Below are 18,870 nucleotides of genomic sequence, written 5' to 3'. Positions count from 1 at the left end.
GAGTTGGGTGCCGTGGGCTAGTTCCAAGAACCCTTCCACTTCTCAGCCAACACTTTGGCGTGGTCACAGGACATGGATTCCTTTCGTTTGGATCAGTTGTTCTACTCAAAGAACACAGAGAACTGGGGAGAGGAAATGGCTGAGTGTGCATGTGATGCTTCTCAGTTCCTCTTTTGAGCTTCAGATGCTTTTATCTGCTGTAGGTCCTGTCTTCCCTACCTTCCTGCTAGATACCTCTTGTCCAAAAGGCCCTGGGTTGTACCTCTTGGTTTCAGTTCTCAATGGGGACTTTGTTGGGTGGGGCTGGCTGTGGATGGTGGAGAGACTGCTGTGGCCTCAGCACCCTTTGTGACCGACTTGATGTCTGCTTTTGTGTAGCTGGTTGTCGGCACTGGAGAGTACCAAATGGCTGCAGCACTTGTCGGTGATGCTAAAAGCAGCTGTGCTGGTGGCTAATACAGTAGACCGGGAAGGCCGGCCTGTGCTGGTACACTGCTCAGATGGCTGGGACCGCACACCGCAGATCGTAGCCCTGGCCAAAATATTACTGGACCCATATTACAGGACGTTGGAGGTATTGAGAGGAATTCGGTGGGAAAACCAGAAGGAATGTGGCAGGAGGGAAGGTGTTGAGCCCTCTGGATCTGTCCTGGGGATCTTTCAGTAGAGGACATTGGTGGCTCTTTTTTTCTTTTTTTTTCCAACTCCCAAAGGCTTGGAAAATTGGTGGCTTTGAGTCCTCTTCTAGGTCCAGTCCTATTTTTCTTTGAAGCTGCCAGCTTCCTGCTTTGGGCAGTTCCCAGGGGAGTAGCACATCAGCATTTCCAGAGAGGCCCTATGTTTGAACAGTTTCTTTTTTTGCAGGGCTTCCAAGTGTTAGTGGAGTCTGACTGGCTGGATTTTGGGCACAAGTTTGGAGATCGCTGTGGCCACCAAGAGAATGTGGAGGACCAAAACGAACAATGCCCTGTGTTCCTCCAGTGGCTTGATTCTGTTCATCAGTTGCTTAAGCAGTTCCCCTGCCTGTTTGAATTTAATGAAGCATTCCTGGTAAGTCCTAAGGCCTGTGACAACAGGGATGGGGGGAATGACAGCCCGAGGCCCCCAGGTGCAAGCTCTCTCTGCTTTCTAGGTAAAACTGGTGCAACACACATACTCCTGCCTCTACGGCACCTTCCTGGCCAACAACCCCTGTGAGCGAGAGAAGCGCAACATCTACAAGCGGACCTGCTCTGTGTGGGCGCTCCTTCGAGCTGGCAATAAAAACTTTCATAACTTCCTCTACACACCCAGCTCAGACATGGTGAGTCTGAGCCCTTTTCCTGTAGGTGCTATTTAGAAACCTATAGGGAGAAGCAGCTGAGTCAGTAGGGAAAATGTAGAGTCAAGGGCTTAGGGAAAGAAAAAGGACAAGGAACTCTTGACAAAGCACTAGTATTGGGCTGCTTCCCTAGGTCCTGCATCCTGTTTGTCATGTCCGGGCCCTGCACCTCTGGACAGCTGTTTATCTGCCAGCATCATCTCCATGCACACTTGGGGAAGAAAACATGGATCTTTACCTTTCCCCAGTGGCCCAGAGCCAGGAGTTCTCTGGCCGCTCTCTGGACAGGTAAGAAAAGCCCTTCTTCCTTTCTCCTCTCTCCACTAGGAAGGCAGTAACTGTTTCCCATCTCATCTAAATGTTCTCTTTCTTTCTTTTTTTTGAGACGGAATCTCACTTTGTCGCCCAGGGTGGAGTGCCAGTGGTGCAATCTTGGCTCACTGCAACCTCCACTTCCCGGGTTCAACTGATTCTCCTGCCCCAGCCTCCCGAGTAGCTTGGATTACAGGCACCGACCACCACGCCCAGCCAATTTTTTGTATTTTTAGTAGAGATGGGGTTTCACCATGTTGGCCAGGCTGGTCTCAAACTCCTGACCTCAAATGATCCACCTGCCTCGGCCTCCCAAAGTGATGGGATTACAGGCGTGAGCCACCGTGCCCGGCCTCTTTCTGAGGTATTTAAAAGCAACTTCTTGAGTCATTTGCAGGAAAAACTTGGCCAAGACTTGTAGCTAGCCTGGAGTGCACTCTGTGTGTTTTCAAGGTCCTCTGAAGATAAGGTTGGATACTTTCTTTCCTGGAGGAGCTGCTATCACTCTGTATGATATACCCAAGCAGGGGAGAGAACAAAACAGAAAGGACTGTTTTAGGAAGGTTTGTGGGAATGGTCTTGATTTTTGTTCACTGGTACAGGGCATGGGGAGCTTGCTATATTAGTAGCAACCTTTGTTGTGTCCAGCATTAGCTTCCAGAAACATCTGACTCTCAGGGAAATGGGTTCCCAGCAGGAGGATGGCCTTATATTACTCCCTCAGAAAAAGGCCAGAATTTAAAAGGGAGACATAAAATTAGGTATCTTCTGGCTCAATGTTTGGGGAGAAGTGAGATGATGTTGGTTAATTTATGAGAGTAATACCTATTTCTTGTTTTAAAAAAATAGTCAATATAAAAGTAGAAAATGAAAATCTTCCCTTATGATCCTTGTCCCCACAGGTGTCCACTGCTAACATTTGGTACGTGTCTTTCCAAATGTTTATCTCTACATAGGTAAATCCACACTCACGCTTTCATATGGAAACATTTTTTATAAACAAAATCAGAATATTTTTACATACGCTTTTTACTTTTTTGCATATTCTGCAAATTGTTTTTCCCGCTTTGTATTAGGTTGTCTTCTCATGACAGCACATCTAAATTCCCTTTCTTGTTTTTATTGGCTTCAGAGTAGTCCACAATTTATATAACCAGATTCCTACTCATCATTTAGGTAATTTCCATTTTTTTTTTTTTTATCATTACAGGGAGTGCTTTACATCCTTATATGTGTAGCTTTTTAAAAATTTGTAAATTACAGGCTGGGCACGGTGGCTCATGCCTGTAATCCCAGCACTTTGGGAGGCCGAGGCAGGTGGATCACTTGAGGTCAGGAGTTCAAGGCCAGCCTGGCCAACATGGTGAAACCCTGTCTCTACTAAAAATACAAAAATTAGCCGGGCATGGTGGCAGGCACCTGTAATCCCATCTACTCAGGAGGCTGAGGCATAAGAATCGCTTGAATCTGGGGGGGTGGAGATTGCAGTAAGCCAAGATCACGCCACGCACTCCAGCCTGGGCAATAGAGTGAGACTCCATCTCAAAAAAAAAAAAAAAAAATTGTAAAATACACATGCTATTTACCATCTACACCATTTTTAAGTACATAGTTTAGTAGGGTTACTTTGTGTGTTTTTTTTTTGTTTTGTTTTTTTGTTTTTGACAGAGTTTCGCTCTGTTGCCCAGGCTGGACTGCAGTGGCACAATCTCAGCTCACTGCAACCTCTGCCTCCCGGGTTCAGGTGATTCTCCTGCCCCAGCCTCTCGAGTAGCTGGGATTACAGGCATGCGCCACCATGCCCAGCTAATTTTTGTATTTGTAGTAGAGACGGGGTTTTACCATGTTGGTCACACTGGTCTTGAACTCCTGACCTCAAGTTATCCACCATCTCGGCCTCCCAAAGTGTTGGGATTACAGGTGTGAGCTCCTGCGCCTGGCCAGTAGGGTTACTTTGTATGCATATTTTTGCATTTGTGCTAGTATTTTTGAATGAAAATACTGTGCTCAAAGGATATATATACATATATACGCGTATATATATATACACATATATGTATATATATCCGTATACATATATACATGTATACGTATATACATAGACATATACATATATGTGTGTATATATGTATACTATATATATACACACATATATACATATATACGTGTATATATGTGTATATATATCTCAAATTTTGATATTTGTTTATTGGCTGAGAGCTTTTTTGTTTTTTAGAGACAGGGTCTTGTTCTGTCACTCAGGCTGGGTGCAGTGGCACAATTATAGTAACCTCAAACTCCTGACCTCAGGTAATCCTTCTGTTTCAGCCTCCCAGGTAGCTAATTAGCTCATTAGGCATGTGCCAATTTTTATTTTTTGTAGAGACGGGTCTGTTGCCCAGGTTAGTCTTAAATTCCTGGCGTCGAGTGATCTTCCTGCCTTGGCCTCCCAAAACACTGGAATTACAGGTGTGAGCCACCATGCCCAGCCTGGCTGAAAGTTTTTAAAGTTAAAATATAACATATGTTATTGGTTGAATATTATAAAGGAAAACAAAAAGCCCAGCATCCCAAATTATTGGTTTTAGGGTCTTTTGAACTAAGTCATTGTGAGGGGACCGTGATAGGTTTCAGGATTTCAGTGATTTTTTTTTTCCTTCCCCAAACTATGCAGAATTTGGCTACAGGTTCATAGGTTTACTTTTCCTGGGAGAGGGGCCATAACTTTTAATCAAATTTTTAATAAGCTCTGTGACCCATTTAATAATCATTTCATTAACTTAGTATCTGATTTATCAATTCAACAAATGTTTCTTTAATACCTACAAGTTGCGTATTACTGTACTAGGTTTTGTGGGCTACAGCAAAGAAATAGAAGATATTGGTTCTACTTTCAAGATAATTTTAAGCTGTAAGATAAGACACAGAACAACTAGAGAGAGCAATTCTTTTTTTTTTTTTTTTTTTTTTTTGAGACAGAATCTCGCTCTGTCACCGGTTGGAGTGCAGTGGCGCAATCTTGGCTCACTGCAACCTCCGCCTCCCGGGTTCAAGTGATTCTTCTGTCTCAGCCTCCCGAGTATCTGGGACTACAGGTGCCCACCACCACACCTGGCTAGTTTTTTGTATTTTTAGTAGAGACGGGGTTTCACCATGTTGGCCAGGATGGTCTCGATCTCTTGACCTCGTAATCTACCCGCCTCGGCCTCCCAAAGTGCTGGGATTACCAGACCCGGCCAACTAGAGAACAATTCTAAGTCAACATCTAAGCAGATAAGAATGTGTGTAGTTCAGGCTGGGTGCAGTGGCTCATGCCTGTAATCCCAGCACTTTGGGAGGCCAAGGTGCGCAGATTGCTTGAGCCCAGGAGTTTGAGACCAACCTGGGCAACATGGTAGAACCCCACCTCTACAAAAAATGCAAAAATTAGCCAGGCATGGTGGCGTGCGCCTGTGGTCCCAGCTACTTGGAGGGCTGACGTAGGAGGATTGTTTGCTCCCAGCAGGTTGAGGCTGCAGTGAGCTGTGATCATGCCATTGCACTCCAGCCTGGGTGACACAGCGAGACCTTGTCTCAAAAAAACAAATGTGTGTAGTTCAAAGCTTTAGAGAAATGATGTGTTTTTTAAAAGGGTCACTTGGTGGCTGTTTTACTCAGGAAATTTTCATGAAGGACCAGACAAGAACTGTGGGTCTTTTTGTGTTCTGTGTATCTGGCTTAGAACCTGGCACGTAATAAGTAAATTTAAATAAATTTACTAAAGTAAAAATTTACTTAAAACTGGACAAATGGCTGGGCGTGGTGGCTCATGCTTGTAATCCCAGCACTTTGGGAGGCCGAGGCGGGCGGATCATGAGGTCAGGAGATCAAGACCATCCTGGCTAACACGGTGAAACCCCGTCTCTACTAAAAATACAAAAAAAAAAAAAATTAGCCGGGCGTGGTGGCAGGCGCCTGTAGTCCCAGCTACTCTGGAGGCTGAGGCAGGAGAATGGTATGAACCTGGGAAGGCGGAGTTTGCAGTGAGCAGAGATCGCGCCACTGCACTCCAGCCCGGGCAACAGAGTGAGACTGTCTCAAAAAAAAAAAAAACTGGACAAATGAATGAAATAAAGGGAGTTGTGAGCTCAGTAACAAGGTTAGTGGAGAGGGGTCCAAAGCAAGTGGATACATGAGAGGTAGGGTTTTCTCGCTCCATTGCCCAGCTGGAGTGCAGTCACATGATCTTCTCAGCTCACTCCGCCCACCGGGTTCAAGTGATTCTTCTGCCTCAGCCTCCCGAGTAACTGGGATTACAGGTGTGTGCCACTACACCTGGCTAATTTTTGTATTTTTAGTAGAGACGGGGTTTCGCCATGTTGGCCAAGCTGGTCTCGAACTCCTGACCTCAAGTGATCCGCTCACCTTGGCCTCCCAAAGTGCTAGGATTATAGGTGTGAGCCACTGCACCTGGGTGAGAGGTAGTTTTTTTTTTTTTAAAAAAAAAAGAAGTTCTGTGGCTGGCAGGGGTTGAGAAGGGGCTATTTTAAGGAATAGTGGAAATATAGGACAGGTCATTGAGGGCATTGAAGGCTTTAAACATTACAGTGAAGAGTTTATTTTGATTCAGTTGTCAATAGGAAGTCATTGTAGGAAGTTACTGTGGTCTGCTGACAGTGGGATCCTTGGAGAACTAATCAGTGAGTACAGGGTAGCTGGAGGCACAGAGACCAGCCAGCACTGCTGTAGTAGTTCAGATATGAGGGGAAGAGTCCCTGGCAAAGAGAAAGGATTAAATTCAGAAGCACTGTAGAGAACCATTGGCAGGCTACAGAATTGAAAGTTGGAGAGTAGAAGTGAAAAGTACTTTGGGTCCCAAGTATCTGAGCTTAAAAAGTAGGAGAATATTAGTACCACTAATAGACATTGAAAGGTCGAGAAGACCAGCCAGTTTGGGGAGAAAGCGGAGATACAGGGAAATTGGGATTGAAATATTAGTTGACAGCAAAGAAGGAGGTGTGTTGTAGGCAGCTCAAGATGGAGAGTAGATTTCGAGAAATAATTGGTATAAAGATTTTAAAGGAAATGGTCTCTGTAACAACTGACCTGACTTACCTTTGATTCTACCTTTCCCTAGATCAAAAATGTCCTTCTTCTTCTCCTTCTTCTCCCCCTCCTCCCCCTCCTCCCCCCTCCTCCCCCCTCCTCCCCCGCTTCTCCTTCTCCTTCTCCTCCTCCTTCTTCTTCTTCTTCCATTAAAGTCATAAACACATTCTTCTATACCCATCTCAAATCCTACCCTCTCTCTGTAGCCTTCCTTGACCTCCTAGCTGGATGAGCTCTCTCTCCTTGTTGTAAACTCAGGTATTATTATCTCTGTCAACATTGCTGACTAACCTTTGGTACACATAGAATGAGTTGTGGAGGATGGCAGAATGTTGTTATTTGAATTTGGATGAAGAGCACATGGAAGTTAATTATATTCTTCTTTTTGTTGTTGTTTGAGACAGAGTCTTGCTCTGTCACCCAGGCTGGAATATAGTGGTGCGATCTCGGCTCACTGCAACCTCTGCCTCTTGCCTCCCAGGTTCAAGCGATTCTCATGCCTCAGCCTCCCAAGTAGGAGCTGGGTTTACAGGCATGCACCACCATGCCCAGCTAGTTTTTGTATTTTTAGTAGAGATGGGATTTCACCATGTTGGCCAGGCTGGTCTTGGACTTGTGGCCTCGAGAGATCTGCCTGCCTTGACCTCCCAAAGTGTTGAGATTATAGGCATGAGCCACTGTGCCCAGCATATTCTTTACTTCTTTTGTATGCTTGAAAGTTTCCATAATAAAAAATAAAATGAAAGAAGTCAGCTGTGGCACTTAAAAGAATACAGATCCCTAGGCCCCACTCTTGGCCATTCTTATTCAGTAGGTCTTGGGTGGACCCTGGTTGTCTGGATGTCTAAGAAGATCCACTAAGATGCCTGATGTGTATCACACATTCAATTGGCACCTAGCAGTGGAAACCTCATGTTGTATTTTGAGCTCATTCATTCATTTCTCAAGTCATTTGCCCCTGGTACTGTGCTAGGCGCTGGGGATTCAAATAAGACAGAGTCCTGCCTTCAGGACACTTCAGTAGAGGGAGTTAAACAAGTAAACAATAAAGTGCAATAATGTGTTATAGGAAGCACTGAGCAATGTGCTTTGATGTGGATTCTTTTGTTTAATCTTCATAATAGCTTTAAGAGCTAGGTACTTTACCTTTATTCCATAGATGAGGGATCTGAGGCGTAGAGAAGTTAAAGTCACACAGCAAAGATGTTGTTAAATTGGGATTTGAACCCTGCCTATGGGACTCCAGGAACTATAATGATAACCACTGTTATTGCCTTCCTGGAATTTCGTACCATTAAAAAAATCAAAATTCGTCACAAAAGGTATATCAAGTATGTATAAAACATTTGTTTTAAGTTTCAAAAACCGATTACTTAAAATAAGCTGCGTTGTAACTGCCTTTGGGGAATTTTTCCGCATAGGCTGAACTGACTGAGCCATCTAAAAATAGGAGGCCAGTGAAGCCTCTACTGTTTCCCTGGTGAATTTCACTCAAGTTTTCATTGCTCTAAGGACTTTGAACTGCATTAATAATCAGGATGGTCACTCTTGAAAATGTCCCTTAACCTATCTGGTATATATGAATGCCTCTAGAACTCTGAGTGCTATATACTAGGGGAAGTTTCATGGGGCCTTGGGAAGCAGAGGAGCACACTGCTGCTAAGTGGTTATCAAGAGCAGTGTTGAGGGAGTTGTGTTGTCTTAATAAAGTTTGTGGTTATTATGTTTGTGGTTGGTTGCCTGTATTTTGAATTCTCATAGCATCTCTACAAGGTATGATTTATTATCATCATTGTATAAAGGGAGAAACCAAGTATCTGAGAGGTTAATTTACTTATTTGTAGTCATGTAGCTAATTAGCGTCAGAGCCAATATTGTCTAGCTCCAAAACCCATCTTCTTTCTGTTTTACTGTGATGGAGGCAGTGGGATATTGGGTTTGAGTCTCAGGTATAGTCCTAGCTGGAACAGTAGATTCAGAAGGCATTGGCATAGAAGGCAGCTGAAACCACTGTAGTGGTTGAGATTGCCCAGGGAGACTGGTAGGTTGAGTGCTGACAAAAGCTGAGGATAGATTTTTGGGTTCCGGAGGACACGGTCCATGTCTCATGCTTTTTTTACAGAGTAAACTTTCAGTGAACATTGGTTATTTGTGATCTTAAGGGTCCTTATTTCTAAACTTAAGTGTTCTTAAGTGTCATTATTTCTAAACTCTGGCTTTGATATTGCTCCATTGATTCAGTTCCATATATTGTATTGCAAGTGCCCATCTCCTGACCTGGAGGTGTTATATTTGTCTTTCCAGATTACCTAAAACCAGATCCATGGATGATCTTCTTTCTGCCTGTGACACAAGCAGCCCCCTGACTCGTACATCCAGTGACCCTAACCTGAATAACCACTGTCAGGAGGTCAGGGTAGGCCTGGAGCCCTGGCACAGCAATCCTGAGGGATCAGAGACAAGCTTTGTGGACTCTGGGGTAGGAGGGCCTCAGCAAACTGTAGGAGAAGTGGGTCTTCCTCCTCCTCTGCCCAGCAGCCAGAAAGACTACTTGAGCAATAAACCTTTCAAGAGTCACAAAAGCTGTTCTCCAAGTTACAAACTGCTTAATACCGCAGTGCCTCGGGAAATGAAGAGCAACACCTCTGATCCTGAGATCAAAGTCCTAGAAGAGACTAAGGGACCAGCTCCAGACCCTTCTGCCCAGGATGAGCTGGGTAGGACTTTAGATGGCATAGGGGAGCCACCTGAACATTGTCCTGAAACAGAAGCTGTCAGTGCACTCTCCAAGGTCATTTCTAACAAGTGTGATGGAGTTTGTAATTTTCCTGAGTCTTCCCAGAACTCTCCTACAGGTACGCCCCAACAGGCCCAGCCAGACTCCATGCTAGGTGTGCCCTCCAAGTGTGTTCTTGATCACAGCCTCAGCACCGTTTGCAACCCACCGAGTGCTGCCTGCCAAACTCCTCTAGACCCAAGCACTGACTTCCTCAACCAAGATCCCTCAGGGTCTGTGGCAAGTATCTCCCACCAGGAACAACTGAGTTCTGTGCCGGATCTGACCCATGGGGAGGAAGACATTGGTAAAAGAGGAAATAATAGGAATGGGCAGTTATTGGAAAATCCTCGCTTTGGGAAAATGCCATTGGAATTGGTCCGGAAGCCAATTTCTCAGAGCCAGATCAGTGAGTTCTCTTTTCTAGGGTCCAACTGGGACAGCTTCCAAGGGATGGTGACTTCATTCCCAAGTGGGGAGGCCACCCCTCGGCGGCTGCTTTCCTATGGCTGTTGTAGCAAGAGGCCAAACAGTAAGCAGATGCGGGCCACAGGGCCCTGCTTTGGGGGCCAGTGGGCTCAGAGAGAAGGTGTGAAGTCACCTGTCTGTTCTAGTCATTCCAATGGACATTGTACTGGCCCAGGAGGAAAGAACCAGATGTGGTTGTCCAGTCATCCAAAGCAAGTCTCTAGCACAAAGCCCGTTCCACTGAACTGCCCTTCTCCAGTGCCTCCTCTGTATTTGGATGATGATGGACTCCCCTTTCCCACGGATGTGATCCAGCATAGGTTACGGCAAATCGAAGCAGGGTACAAACAAGAGGTGGAGCAGCTACGTCGACAGGTGCGTGAGCTTCAGATGAGGCTGGACATCCGTCACTGCTGTGCCCCTCCAGCAGAGCCCCCCATGGACTATGAGGATGATTTTGTAAGTAGTCACCAACTGCCATACACCCATTATTTACTCTGTTCATCCAGCCTTCCCTCCATTCAGCATTTATTCGTTGGGTACTTGCTGTGTGCCACTGAGTTAGGTGCCTGGGCTATAGGATGAAAAACAAGTAAGCAATTAGAATGATGTTTTTAAGTGCTATGATTGAGGAGGCATCAGGTGTTAGAGGGCTGGAGTGGAGTGAAACGTCAAGGAAGACTTTCTTGAGAAGGTAATGCTTGAGCTGAGTGCTGAAGAATGTGTGATACTTAGCCAGGTAGACAGTGAAAACAAAACACCATTTGCAGAAGCGTAGTGGCAATAGATACTCCAATGATATGGCTTAAAAAGATGGGACATGCGAGTATATATGTGTACATGCATGCATACACGCTTACACTGGGGCTATGAGAGACAGTCAAATAGGGTGGTGGGAGGTGACATTGGAGAATTAGGTGGAGATTACAAGGGTCAGGTTGAGTGCCCTTCTTGTTTGGATTTTACCCTTAAGGCAATAAAATTTTAGGCCAGTGCACAATATGATCAGAGTTGTAGTTTAAGAAAATGACTCTTGCAACAATGTACAATTTTTTTTTTTTTTTTTTTTTGAGACGGAGTCTCGCTCTGTCACCCAGGCTGGAGTGCAGTCGTGCAATCTCAGCTCACTGCAACCTCCGCCCTCCCGGGTTCACGCCATTCTCCTGCCTCAGCCTCCTGAGTAGCTGGGACTACAGGCGCCCGCCACCATGCCCAGCTAATTTTTTTTTTTTGTATTTTTAGTAGAGATGGGGTCTCACTGTGTTAGCCAGGATGGTCTCGATCCCCTGACCTCATGATCCGCCCACCTCGGCCTCCCAAAGTGCTGGGATTACAGGCGTGAGCCACTGCGCCCGGCCCAACAGTGTACAATTTTAATGAGGCAGTTGAGACCCAGATTGGGAGGCTGGTAAGGTCATTTTGGAATAATCCAGGTGAGAGATGAAGACTATAGGCTGTGCAGTGTTGGGCAGCCTCAGGTTCTGGCACCATAGTCCTTGGGGAGCTTCTAGGAGCCAGCTTCCTCTCCATGGTATCTTGCCATTTACACAGACACTTTCCTTCCTTCTGTTAAGGTGCTCCCCACTTGCCTGCTTCTCACTTCTCTGGTGCTTTAAACAGGAGTCAGCAAACTTTTTTTTTTTTTGTAAAAGGCCAAATAATAACTATTTTAGGTTTTGTGGGCCATACCGTCTATGTTGCAACTACTCAGCTCTGCTATTGTGCAAAAGCAGCCGTAGCCAGGCACTGTGGCTCACGCCTGTAGTCTTAGGACTTTGTGAGGCCGAGGTAGGTGGATTGCTTTAGCCAAGAAGTTTGAGACCAGCCTAGGCAACATGGTGAAACCCCATCTCTACAAAAATTACAAAAAATTAGCTGGACATGGTGGTGGACGCCTGTGGTCCCAACTACTCAGGAGGCTGAGGTGGGAGGATCTCTTGAGTCCAGGATGTTGAGGCTACAGCGAGCCGTGATCATGCTGCTGCATTCCAGCCTGGGCAAAAGAGCGAGACCTTGTCTCAAAAACAAAACAAAAAGCAGCCATAGACAGTAAGTAAATGAATGAATGCAGCTGTGTTCCAGCAAAACCTGATTTACAAAAACAGGCAGTGGGCTAGTTTGGCCTGTGGGCCATAGCTTGCCAACCCCTGGTTTAGAACATAACAAGAGTCTTTCTATGCTGTGGTGTAGCATATCGGTAAGAGTGTAAATCTGAAGCTACAATACTAGGTTCAAATCCCAGCTTTACTACGTATCAGCTCTTTCTCTGTGGCTTCATTTTCTTATTTGTAAAATGGGGATATTAGTAGTATACATTGTAAGACTGTCATAAGAAATAAGTTCATGTGTGTAATGCACTTAGCACAGTGCCTGACACATGGTAAACAGTAAGCGTTAATGATGATGAAGATAATTTGTTGTCTTTGCCTTTTCATCAGACATGTTTGAAGGAGTCAGATGGCAGTGATACTGAGGATTTTGGCTCTGATCACAGTGAAGACTGCCTTTCAGAAGCAAGCTGGGAACCTGTTGATAAGAAAGAGACTGAGGTATGTTTAGGCACATATGTGGTGGGTACTTACGTGAGCCAGTGAGTCATCATATTTTCCAGAGATGAATGACATGCTGTAGACTGAGCTGTCCCCCAGAGGAGTGTCAGCCTGGTAGGCAAATGGTAGCCAGTTATGAAGATAAGCCTTGTCTCTTTCTGCTGGGGTGCTTTCCTCATTGCAATGTTGCTCTTCCAGTCTGTCAACAAGGACCAGGAATTTTTCTTTGTGCCTTCTATTAGGTGACTCGCTGGGTTCCAGACCATATGGCATCACACTGCTATAACTGTGACTGTGAATTCTGGTTGGCCAAACGAAGACACCATTGCAGGTAAGATGTTTTGTATGATTTAGTATGACAAAAAACAGGGCAGGCCAGGCGCAGTGGCTCACACCTGTAATGCCAACACCTTGGGAGGCCGAGGCAGGCGGATCATGAGGTGAGGAGATTGAGACCATCCTGGCCAACATGGTAAAACCTGTCTCCACTAAAAATACAAAAATTAGCTGGGCGTGGTGGCGCATGCCTGTAATCCCAGCTACTCTGGAGGCTGAGGCAGGAGAATAGCTCGAACCAGGGAGCTGGAGGTTGCAGTGAGCCGAGATTACGCCACTGCACTCCATCCTGGCAACAGAGCAAGACTCTGTCTCAAAAAGGACAAAAAACAAAAACAAAAATAGTGTAATACATATGTATAGAACTAAGTGGAATTAGTTTGGAAGTGGACACCTCTTTATAGAAACTATTTTTGTTTGTCCCCAACTTTTCATTTAGTATCACTCATTCTCAGTATATTGGCATTTCTTAATATTAATTAATTAATTATTTTTTTATTAGCGATGGGCTCTTGCTATGTTGCTCAGGCAAGTCTCAAACTCCTGGCCTCAAGCGATTCTACTGCCTCAGCCTACCAAAGTGCAGGGATTACTGGTGTGAGTCACCCTGCCTGGCCAGTATATTGGCATTTCTGATGAACTCTTCCCTCTTTCTGCTTTGACAGAAATTGTGGGAATGTATTTTGTGCTGGATGCTGCCACCTGAAGCTGCCCATTCCTGATCAGCAACTCTATGACCCAGTTCTCGTCTGTAACTCATGTTACGAACACATTCAAGTCTCTCGTGCCAGGGAACTCATGAGCCAACAGCTGAAGAAACCCATTGCTACAGCTTCCAGTTGAATGCCGGGGAGAAACCTGTCCAATTTTAGCAGGTTTGAAGGGAGGATCTTCTTCAGTTGTAGTTTGGAAGGTTCCTTGGTGTGGCTCATGAAATCACAGAGCTCAGAGATACCATCTTGAGAAATCCTCCTTGGTATCATGAAACTGGAGCAGAGGAATTGCAATTTAGCAGGAGGTCCTCTACTGGTGATACCCTCACCTTGGGGTAATGGTCCTAACCCAGACCCAGGGTCTGGAAGCTTAATGTTGAGTTGGTGACTCCAGCCTCTTTCTCCTGGAGGTCACAAGATGATGATTGCGTAGATGTTGCCTGGTGCAAAGTGCCCCAAACAGCAATAGAAAGGCATATGTATAACCAAACTCCAAGTGATAACCAGACCCATCTCTCCTCCACCTTGACAAAAGCAGATTATAGTATACAAGGTAGGAATTCCTGTCCTATTTGAGATGAACTATATCCTGTACCTCTGTGCTCTGTGTCTGCATGAAGGCTCAGCCTTTAGAGGCACTCCTTCTAGTTGCATTAGTACTGTCTTTCTGTGGAGTTTGGTTTGAAGACTGGCTCAGCAAGTGGAGGTTTCAATGTATTTTTCAGTTGGCTCATCAGCCAGCATTGGTGAATATTCAGTTTAGGGGAACAGTTCTAGGGAGTGAGACATTTTTGGGAGCAGAGGAAAACTCTGCTGATGTTCGGTCCTGGCAAACATTGAGTTATTTTGAGCTGTGAAGGCAGTCGTCTCTGTTACACAGTGGCAGCTCTTGAGTTATGCACTGTGAAGAATGAGAAGGGAAAAGCAAAAATTATCCTTGTGAAATATCTGCTGATTGTGCCCTACTCTTTGCACCTGACTTTTCCTAGTTGTCCTGGTGCTAACACAGGAGCTACACCTTGATCCTCTCCTGGCATGAAAATAAAACAAAGGTTTTCGTTGTTGTTGTTCCATTGCCCATTTCCCCCATGTTGTCTTTCCCTTGGCTGATGCCTCCTCTGGGTCACATTGCTTCTTATCCTGAACACTTGACACCTTGAGGGTAGAATTTAGCGTTTGGTTTTTACCTCCTAGCATATGCTGTTTGGTATGTGAGGGTTTCAGTACAAATGCTGCTGTCTATTTCTGTGCACTTAACAATGGAACCCAAACAGAAGAGAATAAAGCCTTGATACCAAAATTGGGAAAGAACATGTGTCCATTTGGACCAAACGTTGTTGGTTTTTAAAAAATTTTATTTTGTTTTTTTGTTTTTGTTTTTGTTTTTTTTCATCTTAATATGTACCAGTGGCACTTAACCAAAAGATACAGTGATATAGCCATGTACTGTGGGTGGGACAGATACAGTCTCCTTGGCCTATAATGAAACCACTAGGACTTTATACAGTTTTCCTTAATTTGTTGACATATAAATGGTAAATTATATTTAGGCTTATCCTGTTTTGAAATGATGGTAGTCATCTTTCTTACTGCTACTTTCATGTTGCTTTCTAGAAAACAGCATTTCATTCCAAAATAACTAGGATCTGCATTTAGAACAAGAATCATTATTTGTCCTGACCTTTTCAGTCCTACAGAGACGCATCTGTGGTTCTTTTGTACTTGCCATAGATGTAACCTAAAAAGTTTTGGCATATTTAGGTCAGCCTAGCGGAACTTTTTTTTTCATTTAAATGGAGCTGAATAATGGAGATTTTGTGTCTGCAAAATTCCTGAGATCATTGAAAAAGTAACAAGCTGTTCCTTGTTTCTGATACATAAAATTATTTTAAGCATTTTATCAATCATTAAAATTTACTGCCAGTTGTGAGTGGCTTTTTAATTAACTTGTCTTTCATTGCACTTCACTCTGCCTGTTTTCAAGGGGAGTAAGATTGGTAACATTTGGGGAGACTGTATCTGTCTACTTAGCGTGGCTGTTTTGAGGGACTGTCCCATCAGTGAACAAACTGCATGGCCTTGGAGAGAGACTCTGGGCTCTTGGCTCAGATGTGTTCATCAAATACTCCTTTCAGAGCTGTTGTGGGTGTAAGTGACATGATGTGGCCAAAAATCCAAACTGTGCAGTTGCGTTGTGACAAACATGCAATGTGCTGTAAAAATTCAATACAGTTTAAATAAAATCTCTATATTAGTGCTGCTTTGTTGGGTCGTTTTATTTTCATTTCTAAAAAAACTTAATATTCACTTATTCTTTGACCATGAGAAGAGTAGAACATTGTACCCCTTTCTCCCAGCAATTTCCAATTTATTTATTTTGAGATGGAGTCTCCCTCTGTTCCCCAGGCTGGAGTGCAGTGGTGCGATCTCGGCTCACTGCAACCTCCGCCTTCTGGGTTCAAGCGATTCTCCTGCCTCAGCCTCCTGAACAGTTGGGACTACAGGTATGCTACCACGCTGGCTAATTTTTGTATTTTTAGTAGAGACAGGGTTTGACCATGTTGGCCAGGCTGGTCTCGAACTCCTGGGTTCAAGCAGTCCACCCAGCTCGGCCTCCCGAAGTGTTAGGATTACAGACATGAGCCACTGCGCCCGGCCAATTTCCGTTTTCAAATGAACCTCTCTTTTTGAATCAGCACAGCTCTTGTTACATTCTTATTTATTGATTGGCTAGGGATCGATTCTTATGGATACCGTAGAATTCTGTCCCATCTTTATTTCTCTTTAATGTCTAAAATGCCACCAGCTAGTTGGGCAGGCACACAAGATAGTACTTAGATTCTTGTGATTCCCTCCTCCTAGGGACCTCAGTTTTCATCTAACCTTGAGTAAATTGTCTTGAACAAATACTGACTTAAAAGAGTGTATCTTAAAAGATACAAAGGGCTACTATCTAAAAGGTGAGTTCGTTTACTCAAGATATTATACCTCCAGTAGCATCATTTTTGTTTGAGAGGTAAGCAGTTCCACTGTTAGCAAAGATTACAGACCAGACCCTTTGGTCCCCAGAACGACCAACTCTGCTGCCTAACGCACACTTTCTCTGCATTCCAAGTCTCCACTAGTTGGCTGGGCCGAAACACACGCCTCTTGGTATTCCACGGTGGATAACTGGGCTTCTCTCTTGTCAGGACTTAGAACACCCCGGCAGACAGCCTTCCCGGCCTGAAGTCTGGGAACGCCTGGGGAAGGGGCTCCTGCCCGGGTCCCGCAGGCGTCCGGCGGGCCGAGCTGGGGCACGCGGCCGCCGAGGGGGAGGTGCCCACGCCGCGTGGCGGGAACTCGAGGCCCCATTGGCCGCGCTGGGAGGCGCCGCGGGGCCTCGTGCGCCAACGGTCCCTGGTACGCGGCGGATGGGCGCCGGCAGGAGCGGGCAGGGCGAGGCGAAGGCCGGGGAGGGATCGAGAACGGTGTGGGAGAGCTAGGCTCGGGGGGCGAGGCCCCGGCCCGGCGGGGCGATGGAGGCGCTGCTCTCCACCCCCATCAACCCCAACAACTTCCCCGCCAAGCTGTGGCGCCTGGTGAACAGCCCGCGCTACCGCTCCATCCGCTGGGACGGCCGCGGCGAGGGGCTGCTTATCGATCAGCCGCTCTTCGAGGCCGAGCTGCTCAGCCCGCCCGGGCCGGGGGGCGGTGGCGGGACTGCGGGGGCCGGGGCCGAGCCCGAGCTCTTCAAAACCACCAGCTTCACCAGCTTCATCCGCCAGCTCAACCTCTACGGCTTCCGCAAGGTGGTGCTGGGCGGGCCGGGGGGCGGCAAACCGGCAGGCAATGGGCCGCTCCATCACTTCCACAACCCGCACTTCCGCCGCGACCAGCCACAGCTGCTCGTGCACCTCAAGCGCCTCACCAGCGCCAACAAGGCCAAGCTGGCGGCCGGCCTGGAGGTGCCCTGCCGCCCGCCCAACCGCTTCCAGCGGCTGCTCATCACCTCGGCCTCCGCCGCCACCGCGCCACTGCAGCACCAGCAGCCGCCGCCGCCCGCGGGGCCCCGGCCCGAGCCGCACGGTGAGTCCGGACTGCCCGTGCCCTCGCCCACAGTGGGCACATGGGCGGCGGGGAGCAACCGCCGCTGGAGGGCGCATTTTCGCACGTCCTCACGCTATGGGCGTCGGAAAGGCGCCGGGGACCCATTGGCCGCTGTGCTTCCCGAGACTGGCGGTCCCGCCACCGCCGCCGTTCTCAGCGGCACCAGCACGGTGGCCACCGGCCCTCCCCTGGAGGGTCCGTAAGCATTCGGCCCCTTCTGAGCCCACTGGCAGCAAAAGGGACCTCCGCCTCTTAGGCTCCCTTCTACTCGTCCCCGGTTTGAACCCCAGGAGTTTACCTGGTTGTAAGCCTCCGTTTACCTTCCTGAGACCCACACTGTCCACTGTAAACATGTGGACTCAGTAGTCCTTCGTTGAAACATTGGGTCTGGAAGAAACAAAAGGGGCTCCTTTGCTCCCGTGGGAAGCAGAGTGGAGTCACCCTACGGGTTAAGGCGGGATGGAACAAAATCGTAGTCAAGAGAATTTAGAACATTACGGTTGGGCGTGGTGGCTCACGCCTGTAATCCCAGCACTTTGGGAGGCCGAGGCGGGTGCATCACGAGGTTAGGAGTTTGAGACCGGCCTAACCAACAGGGTGAAACCTCGTCTCTACTAAAAATACAAAAATTAGCCAGGCATGGTGGTGCACGCCTGTAATCCCAGCTACTTAGGAGACTGAGGCAGGAGAATCGCTTGAACCCAGGAGGCAGAGGTTGCAGTAAGCCGAGATAGTGCCACTGCACTCCAGTCTGAGCAACAGAGCGAGACTCGGTCTCAAAAAAAAAAAAAAAAAAAAAAAGAGAGAACTTAGAACATTACAATAGCAGGCAAGGGAAAGTTTTGGAAAAGGTGCCTGCAGTGGAAATTTGTCCTTGAAGAGGGCTGCCACCTTCCACCTATTGGCACATCTAAGAAATCTTAGAAGTGCTACGACAATCATCAGATTTAAGGTTCTGGTTAATGTGTAGAATGGTAGACGTTGTTTATATACCTTAAGAGCAAAAATACAACGATACATCGTGGCTTACAAGATATAGTTCCTATGTAGAATGAATTGGCTACACATTTCTTTCATTGAAGCAAATTAGAGCTTGATGCTTCCTTAAAGGGGTATGATTAGACAAACATAAGGCAAAGATGGTTTTCTTTACAGCTGTCAAGTTTTAGTTAAAAAAGAATTTTAGAAAGCTCACATTTACAGCCTTTGGAGTTTTCACTA

General features: G+C 46.3%; 2 protein-coding genes across 9 annotated transcripts in view, besides 2 other annotated features; both read left to right on the top strand.

Moving 5' to 3' along the window:
• The window catches only part of MTMR4 (myotubularin related protein 4), a 29,511-nt gene extending 13,695 nt beyond the window's left edge, over positions 1-15,816 (top strand). For all 7 annotated transcript variants that reach the window (XM_006722168.5, XM_047437019.1, NM_004687.5 and 4 more), the window contains 8 exons: positions 379-574; positions 865-1,050; positions 1,133-1,303; positions 1,455-1,609; positions 9,023-10,421; positions 12,401-12,511; positions 12,754-12,842; positions 13,513-15,816. In XM_006722168.5, the coding sequence (XP_006722231.1) occupies positions 379-574; positions 865-1,050; positions 1,133-1,303; positions 1,455-1,609; positions 9,023-10,421; positions 12,401-12,511; positions 12,754-12,842; positions 13,513-13,690 (2,485 nt within the window). In that variant the 3' untranslated portion in view covers positions 13,691-15,816. The remainder of the gene's footprint in view (positions 1-378; positions 575-864; positions 1,051-1,132; positions 1,304-1,454; positions 1,610-9,022; positions 10,422-12,400; positions 12,512-12,753; positions 12,843-13,512) is intronic.
• A 1,128-nt stretch (positions 15,817-16,944) lies between these two features.
• The window catches only part of HSF5 (heat shock transcription factor 5), a 68,242-nt gene continuing 66,316 nt past the window's right edge, over positions 16,945-18,870 (top strand). For both annotated transcript variants that reach the window (NM_001080439.3, XM_011524283.2), the window contains exon 1: positions 16,945-17,628. In NM_001080439.3, coding sequence (NP_001073908.2) covers positions 17,079-17,628 — 550 coding nt within the window. In that variant the 5' untranslated portion in view covers positions 16,945-17,078. The remainder of the gene's footprint in view (positions 17,629-18,870) is intronic.
• Positions 17,234-17,283: a silencer, noted in NCBI's record as "silent region_8770". NCBI's record gives its function as "represses an Ori minimal core promoter by ATAC-STARR-seq in GM12878 lymphoblastoid cells {active_cell/tissue: GM12878}" and the evidence as "EXISTENCE:reporter gene assay evidence [ECO:0000049][PMID:35858748]".
• Positions 17,544-17,663: a silencer, noted in NCBI's record as "silent region_8769". NCBI's record gives its function as "represses an Ori minimal core promoter by ATAC-STARR-seq in GM12878 lymphoblastoid cells {active_cell/tissue: GM12878}" and the evidence as "EXISTENCE:reporter gene assay evidence [ECO:0000049][PMID:35858748]".

The sequence above is a fragment of the Homo sapiens genome, chromosome 17 (genome assembly GCF_000001405.40).
Source record: "Homo sapiens chromosome 17, GRCh38.p14 Primary Assembly".
Taxonomy (NCBI): domain Eukaryota; kingdom Metazoa; phylum Chordata; class Mammalia; order Primates; family Hominidae; genus Homo; species Homo sapiens.
Note: the sequence above shows the minus strand (reverse complement) of the source record. Positions and strands in the feature narration are given on the sequence as shown.